At 34.2% G+C, this 16,856-nt stretch overlaps 1 protein-coding gene across 14 annotated transcripts in view; it reads left to right on the top strand.

The window, feature by feature from the left end:
• The window catches only part of SS18 (SS18 subunit of BAF chromatin remodeling complex), a 74,967-nt gene that overhangs the window by 50,388 nt on the left and 7,723 nt on the right, over positions 1-16,856 (top strand). For 11 of the 14 annotated variants that reach the window (NM_001308201.2, XM_047437763.1, XM_047437766.1 and 8 more), the window contains 5 exons: positions 1,376-1,543; positions 2,173-2,277; positions 4,909-5,001; positions 5,705-5,827; positions 8,300-8,433. In NM_001308201.2, the coding sequence (NP_001295130.1) occupies positions 1,376-1,543; positions 2,173-2,277; positions 4,909-5,001; positions 5,705-5,827; positions 8,300-8,433 (623 nt within the window). The remainder of the gene's footprint in view (positions 1-1,375; positions 1,544-2,172; positions 2,278-4,908; positions 5,002-5,704; positions 5,828-8,299; positions 8,434-16,856) is intronic. The other 3 variants (XM_047437767.1, XM_047437768.1, NM_005637.4) reach the window with 1 other exon arrangement.

Genomic DNA, 16,856 nt, shown 5'->3' with positions numbered 1-16,856 from the left:
TTGAAAGAAAGGTCCCAGAGTTTTTGAGAGGCTTACATTCACATTTATGAGAATAAAATTGAAAAGGAGGAAAAAAGAAACAGAAGCACGGAAGGCAAATAGGAGAAAAACAGTTATCTCTGATAAAGTACTCCTTCAGATAAAACAGTTCTTCTGATTGGAAATGTGAAGTCTTTCTGCTTACATCATTGCTGCTGTTGTAAGTCAGTAATATATTTGAAGAGGTGGGCTTGTTTTGTTTTTAATTGTTTGTTAAGTAATTTAATAGTGAACTTTTGGCTCATTTGGGCAGTTTCATCTGTGAAACCTTTCCAGGCTGTCTAGTACTTTGCCTTTTGTACTTAAATTTTCTCCATGTCACTCAAGGGGGAGGAGGAGTATGTAGCTATATAAGCAGCAAGTTGGGAAAAGACTCATCCATACTTCTGAGACAGTAATGTTATAATGGCAAAATGATGAGTTCCCCATACCGTAACTTGGCCCAGTAAACCTCTCAGGAGCTGCTTAACATTGTTAGATGGCAATGTGGGACTTTATGGCCATTGTTTATTGTTTCCTGTGATACATTTTTACTGTTGCCAGTGTGATACTATAGCAGTGGTAGTTTGGCTACCCCAGTATTGCTCACTTTGGAAACTCTGTAGTTCAGATTTCTTAGCCTACAGCTTGTTGCATGTCTCTGCCTGTTTTTAGAGGTGTGAGAGTCTTTATGTAATGTATGTGTCTTTTAACATATTAAGCAGTATAGCCATTTGATTTGAAGGAGGCCTTTTTAGGTTATAAATCTTGTAGTTGGGAAAGGGAAAGAAGACTTTTTAAGATTTTGTCCTAAATTAAAGCTTATGAAATTATATTCGGTGTTTGTATAGTTTTCCTGTCTACCATTATATAATGAGTGAGTATTGAAAAAGAGAACAAAGTAAAAATCTAGAGATTTGGTTTCTTTTCCTTAGTTTGACCACTGTTTTGCTGTGTGATTTTGTAAAGTTTACTTTTGGTATATTTTCCAGTGTAGCATAAGGATGATATCTTCTCAAGAAAGATGGTATAGATAAATATTAGATAGTGTGTAATGGAAAATACACACATTCAGGATGTTCATATATTATATGCATTTTATTTTAAAAAATGACTAAGAATCATCTTCCAGTGGATTTCAAGTTAACCACCATGGATTGGTTATTTTCTTTTGTTTGCACATTATTTTAGGCATGTGAATTTTAATTCAAAGACTTATTTTTATTATTTGAAATCAGTTTTTACTGCATTTAATTATATATTTTTGGGACTATATGATAAAAGATTATCTTATTTCTCTTGAGATGTTAAAGTTATATACAAAAAATTATGTGTATAATGTTGTGTCTTGTTTCAGGTCCAATGATGCATCAGCAGCCTCCTTCTCAGCAATACAATATGCCACAGGGAGGCGGACAGCATTACCAAGGACAGCAGCCACCTATGGGAATGATGGGTCAAGTTAACCAAGGCAATCATATGATGGGTCAGAGACAGATTCCTCCCTATAGACCTCCTCAACAGGGTAAGATTCCATTTGGAAAATTTGCTACTTAATGTAATTGAAAGGCTTTAAATTTTAATGACCTTTTAATCTAGACAAAGTCAGGGCGTTTTCTTTTTTTTTTTTTTTTTTTTTTTTTTTGACAAAAGGTAGGGTTCTAGTAAGTACAAAGGGGTCACGAAGAAGATAGGAACTTCTTATCTGTTATTTTCTGGAATAAGTTATACCATACAATTTTATATCGAAAGCTCACTAATTCACAGCAGAAAATACTGTTTTGTTTTTGAAAAGTTATAAAGGGTCAGGAATAAACCCAATTTTACTTCACAGCACTGTAGTATCAAAATTAAAAGGAAATAAATTTGCTACTAGTTTGAACCTATTTTTAAGAAGTTAGCATTTGTTTTTCTGAGTTGGTATTTTTTGATACTGCATGTATGGTCTTAACATTGATTTTAGTAAATGTGGTATGTGGAGCTGCTGTGTATGTATGCATATGTATATGAATAGCTAAAAGTATCTGAAATGCCAAATTATGAGATGGGAATCTATAGTTGAGAAATAATCTTTCATAATATCAAATTAGAAAGAAAGCCTTTGATGACATAGAGAACACATTATTTATATCTTGACTGGTTGTGGTTTTTCAGGCCCACCACAGCAGTACTCAGGCCAGGAAGACTATTACGGGGACCAATACAGTCATGGTGGACAAGGTCCTCCAGAAGGCATGAACCAGCAATATTACCCTGATGGTAATCTCTCCTGATGTTAACTTTCCCATTTTCTATCCCTGCCTAATATTAATGTAGAGAGTTATTTAAAACATTTCAGTGAGGACGAAGAAACTAACAATTTGTTTCCTCTAAATTTTGAAACACTTCAGTACTCTAAAGTACCAATGATAGCATTAGTTTATAATCTAATTCAAAGTATATTTTAGGTGTTCCATTAGTACCATCAGGAATCACAGTCTGTCATTGGAATCCTTATGTAAAAGGATCTTTTTGTAATATGTTTAGGGTTGTTTGATTTCAGCCAAAGCTTATGTTTATTGATTTACTTTTTTTTAATAAGAGCTTCATTAAGATATAATTCACCTGCCATAAAGTTCACCCATTAGTTGACTTGTATTAATTGTACAAATACATAGAGTATATAGTTCTCAAGTTATTTTTCCAAGTCTCATCATTTTAATTAATGTTTCATACTTCTCAACAAACTAAGGTTTACATTAGTGCTTGCCTTTGAGAAAAATTTGGGAGACTAAATTATATCCATAATATAGCCATATAGAGATTGAGTAGAATGGGAAAGGCAATTTGGAAATAAGATTTTTAGTTAGGGTTTTTTGTTTTTTGTTTTTTTGTAGAAAGTGGCTTGTGAAAAATTGGTTAGTAAGATGCACTGTACTTCAGGAAAATTTGAATAGCAATAATCCAAGCATACAAGTAGGTTTTCACAGTACAGTTTCATCAATTTTTCTGTATGCTTGAAAATTTTATAATACAGTGTAGAAGAAAAAATAATTCAGAAATACATTACAAAATGATGTGGGTTGTTAGGGTTTGCCAAAAGCCTTATTCATGTATATGATCCTTTGATGTAAATATAAATTACTGAACAGAGAAACTAAGAAACTTAAAGCTAAAGTATTAGCAGCCATTGACTAGCAGCCCATGTAAGCTAGCAAGAAGATACAATTTAGGATATTTGAAAAAACATCTCACCTGTCATTTTTTGTTAATACATAAAACATAAAGGTACATTTGTACTTAAGGACATTGGTTTTTGTTTTGTTTTTTCTTTTCATATGTAAACATGGTATTAAGATTTTTTTAAATTAAAAACTTTAGTAAGATTGTTGTAGACTCTACGTATTTTAAAGACGTGAAATCTACTTTGTTAAATTATATGTATTAAGAAGTCTGCTGAAAATAAATGATTGTTTCTATTTTTTAATTTTTAATTACATTTTAAAGAATTAAATTTGACATTGTTGTTTTGATCCTGGGTATCTCTTGAAATGTGACATGTGTATTGTTATAACCTTTCTGTTCAAAATATATTGGTTTGTTATTTTGTAAATATCAAAACATTAAGGTTACTTTAATTCATTTTATTAGTGGATTTTAATTTGAAGGGTATCATTTTTGCATAGGTGTATATTACTTTATATCTGACATTTACATAGAGTATTCTATTTATGTCGACAATTAATATTTGTAAACAACATTGGCTCTTTTCTCTCATGTCCGGATATTTATGTTAGTAAATATATAGATTAGGAATTGGCAAACTTTTTCTGTAAAGGGCCAGATAATAAATACTTTAGTCTTTGTGGGCCATATGGTTTTGGTCTCAGCTACTGAACTCTTATTGTAGCATGAAAGCAGCTATGGACAATACTGAAATGAATAGGCATGACTGTATTCCAATAAAATTTTATTTACAAAAACTTGCCACTGGCCATATTAAGACTGCAGGCCATAGTTTGCCAACCCTTCATGTAGGTATTTATGAGGTGGCTTGGGAACATTAGAATACTAGAGCACTGAGTATAATGTTCATTTGTAATTTTATTCCTGTGTCCTTAATTAGGCATTTTTGTAAAATTGAGTTTAGATTTTAGGTAACTAAAAGGTTATTTCCTACATTTTCTTAGTGAAACTTTAAAAAAAAGAGTGAGAGTATTTTTCACTAGAGTCCAATTATCTCGCAGGTAAAATTTATTGTGCTTTAAAACTAAAGATATACTCTGTCAACACAATATTAATTTTATGAAGATGTATGTTTATGATACTTGAAATATTTTCTAAAGATTTCCAAAATGGCAGCATTAAGATATATAATTTTGCATCTGAAGATACTTTGAGATACTTAACTTTATGCAAGTAAATGTTAGAACTTGAAAATTTTTCAGTTTCTTTCAGGGGAAAAACTTATGGAACTCTTTTATATTTTGCATTGTTTTTAGCATATGCTGTGGAATTGGAGACCAGCAGAACAGGTGTTTGACAAAATATGATAATTGCTTCCTTTGTTCATTCTAATTTAATTTAGGTTATTTACATGTGAAAGACTTTTATTCTCTTTGTTTTTTTAAATGGGAGATAGTTTTTTTTCCCTCAATGAGGATTATCAGATTTAAGACAATAAGTGTAATGTTTCTAAAACTACTGCTTTTTGCTTTTAAAAAAATTTGCACGTTATCTCAATATGAAAACAATCACATTGGTAAATCTTTGGCTAATGCAATTGAAATTATTTTTTATGTTCCATTTCTTTTTCTTTTTTTTCAATTTTATCTGAAAGTTTAAATATTTTTAGGGTTTTCACTCAGTGGCCATTAACGTTTCTTCCTGTCTCTTGTCGAATTGATGTAGGTCATAATGATTACGGTTATCAGCAACCGTCGTATCCTGAACAAGGCTACGATAGGCCTTATGAGGATTCCTCACAACATTACTACGAAGGAGGTATCTATATACCTTCACACACATACACATATATATCCCCTTCTACAGGAATGAAAATTCTTGCATAAGACAACTTCTACCCATGCAAAGCTCTTGTAGAATACTAGTTGCTGGCTTTCTTGAAAGTTGCAGGGAGCCCAAAACAATCAAAATAATTTCCTTACAAATATTTAAAATGTATAACCATGACTTGCCATTTCTAACAATAATAAAAAGACTAAAACATTAAAGATAATTTTTTCCTCAGTGGAAATTTTCTATTTGAACATAAATCCATCAAACTTTTTTTTCTCGTGTGTGTTTACATATGTATAATTTTACATATAAGTATAGTGCCTTTAGGAAACAGCTTGCTGATCTCGTGTAGCTAGTGTGTGCTCTTGTAGCTGTCTTTAATTTTGTCTTTTTTATTTTATTTAGCATAGTCATGATCTTATGACTGTGATGTTCCAGTAAATGTAATGCTCGTATGGCAGAGACGCTGAAAATGCTGCAGTTCAACCTTGCAAAATTGGCTTTAACTGCAGTTTGTTTGGCCGAAATCCTTCTGTTTGGTTTGAGTTTTTTCTTTGTTTTGTTAACTTCTAAAAATCAATATGGCATTTCATTTTGTTCTTGTGTTGTTGGCTATGCATCTTAGAGGGAAAAAAGTTACTTAAGCAGACTTCTCAGTTTTTTTTCCTCTTCTCCAATTATCCTGTAGGAAATTCACAGTATGGCCAACAGCAAGATGCATACCAGGGACCACCTCCACAACAGGGATATCCACCCCAGCAGCAGCAGTACCCAGGGCAGCAAGGTTACCCAGGACAGCAGCAGGGCTACGGTAAAGCTTTGTACAGTGTATTTTTATCACCAAAAAAATGTGCTGATTGTTTTAAAATATGGAAGTGGATATTTAATACTTATTTTTACAAGAATTATCACTTGAAAATTCAGTTTTAGACTAGTCTACTGTTAAAATGTTGGTTTAAAATGTTGCTCTTAGATAAACTAGTAATCCATTTAAAAAGAACAACAAACTGGAGATGGTTCATGACCAAAGGTAATGTGTGGAGTCATTTAAAAGACAAGAAAAATGAATTATCAGATGTATTTGTCATGCCTAGCCCTGTGTGTGCTGGGAAAACTGATGATTGGGTAATTATTGACCATATGTATATAATCTGCTTAGCAAATTTATTTTGAAAAACTAGTGGCCAATACAGTTTTTTTTAAGACATACTGATTTTTTTTTTTTTTGAGTACAAATGAGATCTATTCAGAATGCATAAAGAAAATGTTTTTGTCATTCCCTAAATAGCAATATACGTATCCATCGGGATGAATTATTGCAGCTGTGTATCATACAGAATTTGGGGGAAGTGTAGCAATATTTTCCTATTATATACTCACTTATAATACCTGCTACCTGGATATCTGACTTTAACTTCTTAGATAGGGAGTGGGGAATGACGAGGACCTGATATTTCAGTCTTAACTCTCAGGCTACTATAACCACTTTAGATACAACTCTGTTGAAAGAAAAGTAGCTGCTTATGAATACTGACTCCTTCTCTTCCTAACAGGGTCTCTTTCACGTCGGTAATATCTTATTATTTTTATTCATTGACTTAAGCTCTGCCATTGCTGTGGACATCTTTGTCTACCTGTGATAGCAAATCTTAGAACTCAGGTCAGACTGAAATTCTCTTGCCCCCTCAGCATACGTGTTGAAACTCAGTCAGATATTGGGAGTCAGGTATTTTTCTAAAAATGTCAAGTTCTGATTTCCAGATTCTAGATGTGACTTTAGAAATATTCCATGGATTTTTTTTCTTTCATAAAGGAACTTTCTTGCCCTTCCCAAATGGCCTTTTCATTTTGTGACTACTTAGTATTTATACTTTGAATAAATACAATATTCTGGTTTTATTGCCTTTGGATGAAAACAGATGTAATGCAGCTAAATCAGGTAAATTCATTGACTTAAGATAAATACCTTCAATGGTAAGAGAGGGTGAAAGAAAGCTTAATTTTTGTTGAAGTATTATAGTTAAATGCTGTTTTGTTAGACATCAGGAATCCTAAGAGAAATTTCTATTTTGTTTATCCATAGGCTTGTGTTGTCCAAAAAAAACTTTATTTCCACTAGAAATAAAGTTTTAATAATTGAATATATAATAAATAATAGGCTGATATAATTTATTTAAGCTTGAAAACTTGTTCTCTTTTGACACTTTTCTCTGAAATCAGTGTTTTTATGGCAGGTTTTGAATGGCTACGATAGAAAACATTTAAGTGTCAAAGCTTTTCAGCTTATGCTTTTTTTTTTTTTTTGGACGGAGTTTCACTCTTGTTGCCTAACCTGGAGTGCAGTGGTGCGATCTCTGCTCACTGCAACCTCTGCTTCCCGGGTTCAAGCGATTCTCCTGTCAACCTCCCGAGTAGCTGGGATTACAGTCGCATGCTACCATACCCGGCTAATTTTTGTACTTTTAGTAGAGATGGGGTTTCATCATATTGGTCAGGCTGGTCTCAAACTCCTGACCTCAGGTGATCCTCCCACCTCAGCCTCCCAGAGTGCTGGGATTACAGGCGTAAGCCACTGCGCCAAGCCCAACTAGTAGAGTTTATAAAACAGACATATTGTTTAGCAAGCCAAGTCAGTCCCTTGCCATCTCTGGAATTTGTAATCATTTTTATGGGTAAAGTATTAAAGGTGATTAATTCTCAGTGTGACTTTTGAATCAAGTTTTTTCACATGTAACCTGTGGGTTTTCATGTTTTTAGTTTCTGTTTTAAAATATTTTGGTAACAAATTTGTCAATGCATAGTATAGACATATACTTTTGGTGATTGCAAATATAAATCTAGAGTCATACAGTTGTAAATATCGTTTATTCCTCCACTTTATTCAGAAGTTATTTCAGTATTTTTCTTTGAATCTGCCTCTTGCTTTCTCTTTTTCCTCTTGCTTGTGCTGGTTAACGCTATCAGACGTATTGATTAATTTTCTTATCATCATGGAGTTAACCTGCTTTACAACTCCCTGAGTCTTTTTTACCCATTTTGAAATATATTTTGTAATGGCTAGGGCATAGTACGATAATTATAGTGAAGTAACATTACAGTATTTTTACTCTTATTATTACCATCCAGATTTATTTCAGAAAGCATTTGAGGAAATCAAGGTACCAAACTATCTTTTTTTAGCTTAGATAGAAAAATACAGTAACATCTCTGTAGTTCACATCCTTCCCTGAGTTCTAGGGACTTACCTTTTTATGTGGGTTTTTGTTGTGTACATTATTTTCAGGTCCTTCACAGGGTGGTCCAGGTCCTCAGTATCCTAACTACCCACAGGGACAAGGTCAGCAGTATGGAGGATATAGACCAACACAGCCTGGACCACCACAGCCACCCCAGCAGAGGCCTTATGGATATGACCAGGTAAGTAGTTTGACCGGCTGCAGAATTGCCACATTGTTTCTTCACTCTCGATTAGGTGAACTTTTTTTTAAAATTTATTTAACTTGAAGCCTCATGTTTCCCTCATGAGGGAATGTTTATGGTACATTTGTTAACAAAAAGTGTATCACTTTTGAGATTCATGCTGTTTAATAACACAGTTGATCATAGTTACTCTATCATATAAAACATGGCCTTATCATAAGACAACAACATATATATTCTGTCTCTCTCTCTCCCCCTCTTGCTCTGTGGTCTTTACCCTCAGGCATACTTTGTTTACTGAGGTAAAGTATAGATAGAGAGTTTATCATATTTACCATTTTTGAGTGTACATACAGTTCAACGTTAATAAATTCATTTGGTTCCCCCTCCGTGATCCCTTCTCATCCCTTTTCTTCCCAACCTCTGGTAACCTTAGTGATTTCTGTGATCCTCCCTGATGTTTATTGCTGAGACTTTGCCTTAACCTACTGAGATGTGGAGTCCATCTGTGTTGATGCTTTCATGAGCACTCCACTTCACTCCAGCATATCCACTACACTTCCTTCACACCCATAATATCCCATCTCTTTAAATTAAAACTTTCCGCCCTCTGTTGCCTCCTTCCACACACGTAACTATTATTTCAACTGTTATTTCTCCCCTGTCATTCTTCTTTCAGATATGTAGAAGTGTATCTCATCCTAGGATGACTGTATTCCCTTGAACCCAGTGTTCATTTAACTGCCTTATTTTTGTCATTAAACTCCTCAGACTTGTACCACAGTCATCGTTTTATGAATGTACTCATATATACTCTGAATTATTATGGAAATGATTTATTATTATGGCAGTTCCTTTAGGCTGGTTTCAGGTTTGTCTGCACTTTTCAGTGAAGGTGGTCTGGTTTGTTCACCACTTAAGCTATCTAAAATAAGTTATTTTTTAACAAGGAACTGTCTTTAATATGCAGTTTAGGCTTTCAGGGCCAACATCAGTATCTGGTTTGAGGAAAAACTCAGATGCAGTGGTAACTAGAATTTGAGGCATGAGCAGTTCTTTGATCAGCCCTCTCTCATGCCTACAACCCTCTTGTATTGACACTTCTTATTTAAGGCAAAGGAGATACAAAAAGCATAAGAACAGATAAGTAATATTTTTCAAAAATATCCTCAAACAAAACAAAAGGATCAGTTGGAGGTTTTATTAAGTTTTAGAAGTGAAATAAGTCGTGGCTAGTGAGTATTTAAAGGCAGGATTCCTGAGCAGATAAAATTTAGGCTCATTGTAATCTGCAGGTAAACTTTTTAAAAAGTGAGATTCTGTCCATGTATTCCATCACTCAACAAATATTTATTCTCCATGTGTTTGATACTGCAGTAGGTCCTACGGAGGTAAAATAGTCAACCAGCTGTCTTGATCTTCCTTGACCTCACTTTAGCTATTGGCACATTTTCCTTTTTCATTTTTAGATGGTCTTCTTTAGTTTCTATATTTCTGAAACATTTTGTTCCTCTCGCGTTTACATTGATTCATTCTTTATTGTTTTTATTGGTTTTCCTTTTTATTTTACCCTAATATCAATTCTTGACTCTGTATTTTTTTTTCTAGCCTCTGAATCATACTGCCCTCTATTTTCAGTATTCTTAGCTCTTACTTCTCAACCCAGTTTCAGCTCCTTTTTATCCAAATGTACAGAACATCTCTTGTCTTTGGATTCCCTCAGCTTTAGCATGTTGTAGACTAAACTGATCATTTTCCTTTCTAAGTCAATATATTTCCAAATCTCCTAAACTTCAAGCCATTCATTAAGCAAATGTTTATTGAGCAACCATTATATGCCAAGTGCCATGCTAAGATTGGGAACATATTGGGAAATAAGATAGACGTGGACTCAGTCTTTATGAACTTAAGTGTAGATGGCATACAGGTGGGTAAACATATGATATGATACAGTGTGATAAGTACTTAGATAAGGAAAGCTAAGATTTATGTGGAAGGAGCTTCTAACTCAGATCTTGAGAAATATTCCTTCGGAAATATTATATATAAGTGTGAAGTACCAAGGATGAGCCAATATTAGCCAGGTAGATGTGGATGATGAAAGAAGAGCATTCACAAAGGGACTAGTGTTAAACCGTGTGTAGTTCAGTAAAGCAGAAGCATGGGGAAGAAGAGACAAGACTGGAGAGAGGTGTTGGAGTTAGCTTAGGAAGGCTCTTACAAGCCGTATTAGGGGACTTGAACTTTATCCTGACATCAGTGTGGAGCTTGAAAAGCAGTGTATATAAAGTGTGTAGCAGTGGCTAGCACTTGGTAGCTATGATAGATACATGATTTACTTCTTTTATCATCATAATTATTCCACTCTCTAAAGTTCTCAGGAATTTGGGACTATACTGTGTGGATAAAGACTCATGGTGTTTGAGTAGTTGCCAACCACTTCTCCTTCCCCACTAGAAAAGAATATGAGGGGGGGACCATTTTAGCTATTTTAGTGCCAGTAGTGTTTCTACATTAACCTAATGTTTAACCTTATCTTTAGCCCCCACCCAAAGACCTATTGATCTCTTTATTTTAGGAAAAATAGTTCGTTCACGTCTTGATGGTTGAGGCAATGGAAAACTAACGAAGATTCTGAAACCCAATACTAACATAATTATAGTTGTAGTTTAGGCAGATGAATCTTACAGCAATATGCAAGATAAAAGGGGAGAAATTAAAAGGGTGGAAATTGTTAGGATACTTCCCCATCGGTCCTTGCTATCCAGTAAACAGTGGTTCCATTCTTCCTGTTCCTCAGGTTAAAAATCTAGAGTCATCTTTGACTCCCCTCTTTGCAAAGCAGACATCCAATTAGCAAACCCCTTCACCTCTTCCTTCAAAATATATCTAATATCTAGCCATTTTTCACAGTCTCCTTTCACCCAAGTCAAAAGTCACAACTAGCACTCATCTGGACTGTTGCAATATATCCTCCTTTTTGCTTTTCTTGATTTTATCGTGCCTCCTCTACAAGATACTCTGCACATGGGACCCAGAGTAATGTTTTAAAGACATTAGTCACCTCTCTGCTTACAACCCTGTGGTGTTTTAAGTAAAAGCCATATGATATACTGGCCTACAAGGCCATATAGGACTTGTGCTCCCACCTCCTATGCTACCCTCCTTGTGCCTGCATATTTATATCCCAACCACTCGCTGCCCTCATTCACTCTGCTTCAGTCACACTGGCCTATTTGCTGTTCCTTACATGCATCAAGTGAGTTTCTACCTGAGAATCTTTGTATTTGCTGCCCCTTTTTCTGCCTGAATGCCTGCAGTGCCTCCAACCTCACTTTATTAAAATCTCTGCTTAAATGTCATCACGTCGTATCAGAGAGTCCTTCACTGACCACCTAAGTAAGACATAACACCCTCCATTGCATCACTCTTTTTCCCTACCCTTTTCATAGTTTTTTGAACAGCTTAATTGAAGTATAATTTATATACCATTAAACTGCATGTAATAAAAGTGTACAGTTTGATCTTTTTTGACACGTATATACACACCTGTGAAACCATCAGCAGAATCGAAGTAATGGGGTATCTATCATGCCCAGAAGTTTTCCCTGTGCCCCTTTGAAATCCCTCCACTTGCATCCCTTCTCCAGACATTGTTACTGATCTTTTAACTAAACTGTGGATTAGTTTACATTTTCCAAAATTGTATAGAAATTGAATAATATAGTATGTTCTGGTTTTTATCTGGCTTCTTTTACTCAGCATAATTGTTTTGATACTTATGTTGTTTGTGCCAGTAATTGTTTATTGCTAAGTAGTGTTCCATTATATGGCTATTTGTTTGTCCATTGAGATGGGACATTTGGGTTTACAGACACAGTACTATGAACATTCATGGACAAGTCCCTGGGGACATTTTTCTTGGGTAAATACCTAGGAGTGGAATGGTTGGATCATATGATAGGTATATATTTAATTCAACAAACTGCCAGAATGTTTTCCGAAGTAGTTGTACCATTGTATATTCCTATCATTTTACATTCTTACCAGCAGTGTATGATTTCACCCATATCCTTGCTAACTCATTGCCAATATTTGGTATGAATCAGTCTTTTAAATTTTATTTATTCTAATAGGTGTGCTATAACACTTCATGACTTTAATTTGAGTATCCCTAAGGACAAATGATGTTGACCATCTTCTCTCACTTATTTGCTACCTATATTTCTTCTTTTCAGGAGTGTCTGTTTAAATCTTTTGCTCATTTTTAAATTGGAGGCTCTTTATTTTTTTTATTATTGAGTATTAAGAGGCCTTTGTATATCCTAGATACAAGTCCTTAATCAGGTATCATTTGCACATATTTTCATCCTGTCTGTTTTTTCATTCTATAAATAGTGTCTTTCAAAGACAGGAGAGTCTAAATTTTGATGAAGCTTAGTTTATCAGTTTTTTCTTTATGGATTATGCTTTTGGGATCATGTGTAAGAAATCTTTACCTAACTGAAGGTCACAAAGATTTTCTCCTGTACTTTCTTCTAGAAGTTATATAATTTTAGAGTTTACATTTAAGTCTATGATTCATTTTGAGTTGATTTTTATGTATGGTGTGAAGTATGAAATAAAGTTTGCATGGCTTTTTTTCTTTCTGATGCATAGCTAATTTTCTCAGAGTCATTTGTTGAAAAGACTTTTTTTTTTTTTTTTTTTTTTTTTTTTTTTTTAGATGAGTCTCGCTCTGTCACCACCAGGCTGGTGTGCAGTGGCGCGATCTCAGCTCACTGCAACCACCGCCTTCCGGGTTCAAGCGATTCTCCTGCCTTAGCCTCATGAGTAACGAGGACTACAGGTGTGCGCTACCATGCCCAGCTAATTTTAATTATTTATTTATTTATTTTTATTTGTATTTTTAGTTGAGACAGGGTTTCACCTTGTTGGCTAGGATGGTCTTGATCTCCTGACCTCGTGATCCGCCTGCTTCGGCCTCCTAGAGTGCTGGGATTACAGGCGTGAGCCACCGTGCCCAGCCAAAAACTCTCTTTTACCTACTGGATTGTCGTTTTACCTTTGCAAAAAATCAGTTGTCCATAAACATGTGTCTGTTTCTGAACTCTATTCTGTTCCATTGATCTGTTTATGTATCTTTATGCCAGTACCACACTGTCTTCATTAGTATAGTTTTATAAGTTTTATAGTTTTAAAATAAGTTTTATAATCAGGTAGTATTAGTTTTTGAACTTTGTTCTTTTTATACAAAGTTGTTTGGCACTGTAAGTTCTTTGGATTCCATATAAATTTTAGAATCAGCTTGTCAGTTTGTACGTAAAAGCTTACTAGGAGTTTCATTGTAATTGCCATGAATTTATAGATTAATTTGGGGAGAACTGACAGTATTATTTAGTCTTCCAACCTATGAACATGGCATATGTCCCTTAAAATTTTTTTTAACAGTGTCATATAATTTTCACTATATAGGTCTTACATTTATTTTTCTAAGTATTTTATGTGTTTTGATGCTATTGTAAATTTTTTAAAATTTTAGTTTCCAGTTATTAGTTGCTAGTATATACAAATACAGCTTATTTTTGTGTATTGATATTTTATCAAAACTATAACTTTACTAAAATCACATCTAGTAGTGTTTTTGTAGATTTCATTGAATATTCAAACATAGAAATCATGTTGTCTGTGAATAAAGACAGTCTCCTTCCTTTTCAATCTGAATGCTCCCCCATGTTCCTTCCCCACCCTCCTGCTTGCCTCAACTAGAAACTCCAATACCATGTTAAATAAAAATGGTGAGAGTAGACATCTTTTGTCTTGTTCCTGATCTTAGAGAGAAAGTTGTCATTTTTCATCCTTATATAAGATGTTCATGTAGGGTTTTTTGTAGATGTCCTTTATCAGGTGTTATATTTCTAGTTTGCTGAGAATTTTTATTGGGAATGAATGTTGAATTTTGTCACATGATTTTTCCTTATCTATTGAGGGAATTATGGTTTTCCTTCTTTAGTTTGCTAATTTTTGAATTACATTGTTTGAGTTTCAAATGTGAACCAACTTCATACCTGGGATAAAATCTATTTGGTCATGATATATATCCTTTTTATATATTGGGTTGATTAGCTAAAATTTTGTTAAGAATTTCTGCATCTGCATCGCTTGAGTCCAGGAGTTCAAGACCAGTCTGGGCAACAAAGCAAGACCCCCCACCTCTATAAAAATCTAGCCAGTCATGGTGGCATATGCCTGTAGTCCCAGTCAGTTGTGTCCTGACATAACAGTGGTTCAACTTAGGTTTTTTGACTTCACAATGCTGTGAAAAGTGATGTGTATTTAGTAGAAATTCTACTTCCAGTAACTGTACAATCATTCTGTTTTATATTTTCAGTGCAGTGTTTAATAAATTACATGAGGTATGCAAAACTTAGGATATTTTCAGCTTACAGTGGGTTAATTGGGACATAACCCCATGGCAAGTCAAGGAACATCTGTGTTTTCATGACAAATTTTGGAATCTGTTTTTTTTTTTTCTTGTAACATGTTTGTCTGGTTTTGTTACTGAGGTAGCACTGGTTTCATAGAGTGAGTTGGGAAGAATTTCCTCCCTTCAGAAAATTGGCATTATTCTTTCTAAAATGTTTGGTGCAAAGTTACCAGTGAAGCCATCTGGGTTTGTAGTTTTTTTTGTGAGAAATTTTTAAATTATAAATTTAATTTATGAAATATAGGGGGTATTCAGGTTATCTATTTTTTTCTTGAGTAAATGTTTTGTGTGTTTTTCATTGGAGTTGTCCATTTTATCTGTGTTGTTGAATAATTTCTTTATCATCGCTCAATATCTCCATAATCTGTAGTGATATTACCTCTCTCATTTCTGATATTAATAATTTGTGTCTTCTCTCTTTGTCCTCATTTATCTGGCTAGTTTTAATCTACCTATTCATTTTTCTCAAAAAGCAGCTCGATTTTATTTATTGCCTTTTGCCCATTTGCTTTTCTGTTTCTTTGATTTCTGCCCAGAACTTTATTATTTCTTTTTTTCTGCTTACTTGGGTTTTATTTGTTCTTATTTTTCCAGTTTCTTAAGATTGAAGTTGTAGTCCCATTGATTTAAGAACTGTCTTTCTTTCTAATATAGATGTTTCTTTCTAAGTATTCTTAAACTGCATCTGATGCTGTTATTTTTAATCAGTTCAAAATACATCCTGGTTTCACTTTTTATTTCTTTTTTGACCCACAACACATCAGAAGTGTGCAATTTCATTTTCAAATATTTGGAGATTTTCAAATCTTTCTGATGAATTTACTCCTTTACCATTATCAAATAACTGTCTTTATCCCTGCCAATATTTTTTGCTCTGAAATCTAGTTTGTCTAGTATCAATACTGCAATACCACTTTTCTTTTGATTAGTATTAGAATAATAATTTTTCATCCTTTAACATATTTGTTTTTATATTTAAATTATATTTCAAGTAGACAGCATATGTAGTCAGTCGGATCTTGCTTTTTTTAAATCCAGCCTGCCAATTGCTGCCTTTAAATTGGGGTTTTTGACATGTTTAGTGTGATTATGGATATGATTAAGTATATCATCTTTATTTTTTCTATTTGTCACATCTGGTTTTTGTTCTCCTTTTCCTCTTTTTCTGCCTTCCTTTGATTTTTCTCCTCTTTTTAACAAAAACAGCTTTATTGAGATATAAATCACATATCATACAAGTCACCATTCTAAAGTATACCATTCAGTGGTTTTTAAGCATATTCAAAAAGGTAGACTGGGGGTGGTGGCTCACGCCTATAATTACAGCACTTTGGGAAGCTAAGGCAGGAGGATTGCTTGAGCCCAGGAGTTGAAGACCAACCTGGGCAACAAAGCGAGACCCCCACCTCTACAAAAAACTAGCCAGGCATGATGGCATGTGCCTGTAGTCCCAGCTCTTCAGGAGGCTGAGGCAGAAGATTGCATGAACCCAGGAGGTCGAGGCTGCAGTAAGTTGTGATTGTGTCACTATACTCCAGGCTGAGTGACAGAGCTAATATCCTGTCCCCCCAAAAAAGTGCAGCCATCACCACCCTCTAATTTTAAAACATTTTCACCAGCCTGATAAACTGTATACCTATTAGCAGTCACTCCTCATTCCCCTTTAACTACTCAGCCTTAAATACTTAAATACTCATTCTGTAATTTCGTTTTCAAATATTTGGAGATTTTCCAGCAACAGTAGTTTACTTTCTATCTCTATAGATTTGCCTATTCAGTACATTTAAGATAAATGGAATCATACAATATGTGGAGTTTTGTGACTGGTGTTTTGTTTTTTTTACTTAAAATAATATTTTCAAGGTTCGTCTGTGTAGCGTGTATCAGTGTCTTCAAGTGATAGTATGCCTATACATAGTGTAAGAACCTTAAG

Source organism: Homo sapiens, chromosome 18 (genome assembly GCF_000001405.40).
Source record: "Homo sapiens chromosome 18, GRCh38.p14 Primary Assembly".
In the NCBI taxonomy this organism is placed as follows: Eukaryota; Metazoa; Chordata; class Mammalia; order Primates; family Hominidae; genus Homo; species Homo sapiens.
The sequence above is the reverse complement of the archived record's forward strand: the minus strand, read 5'-3'. Positions and strand labels throughout refer to the sequence as shown.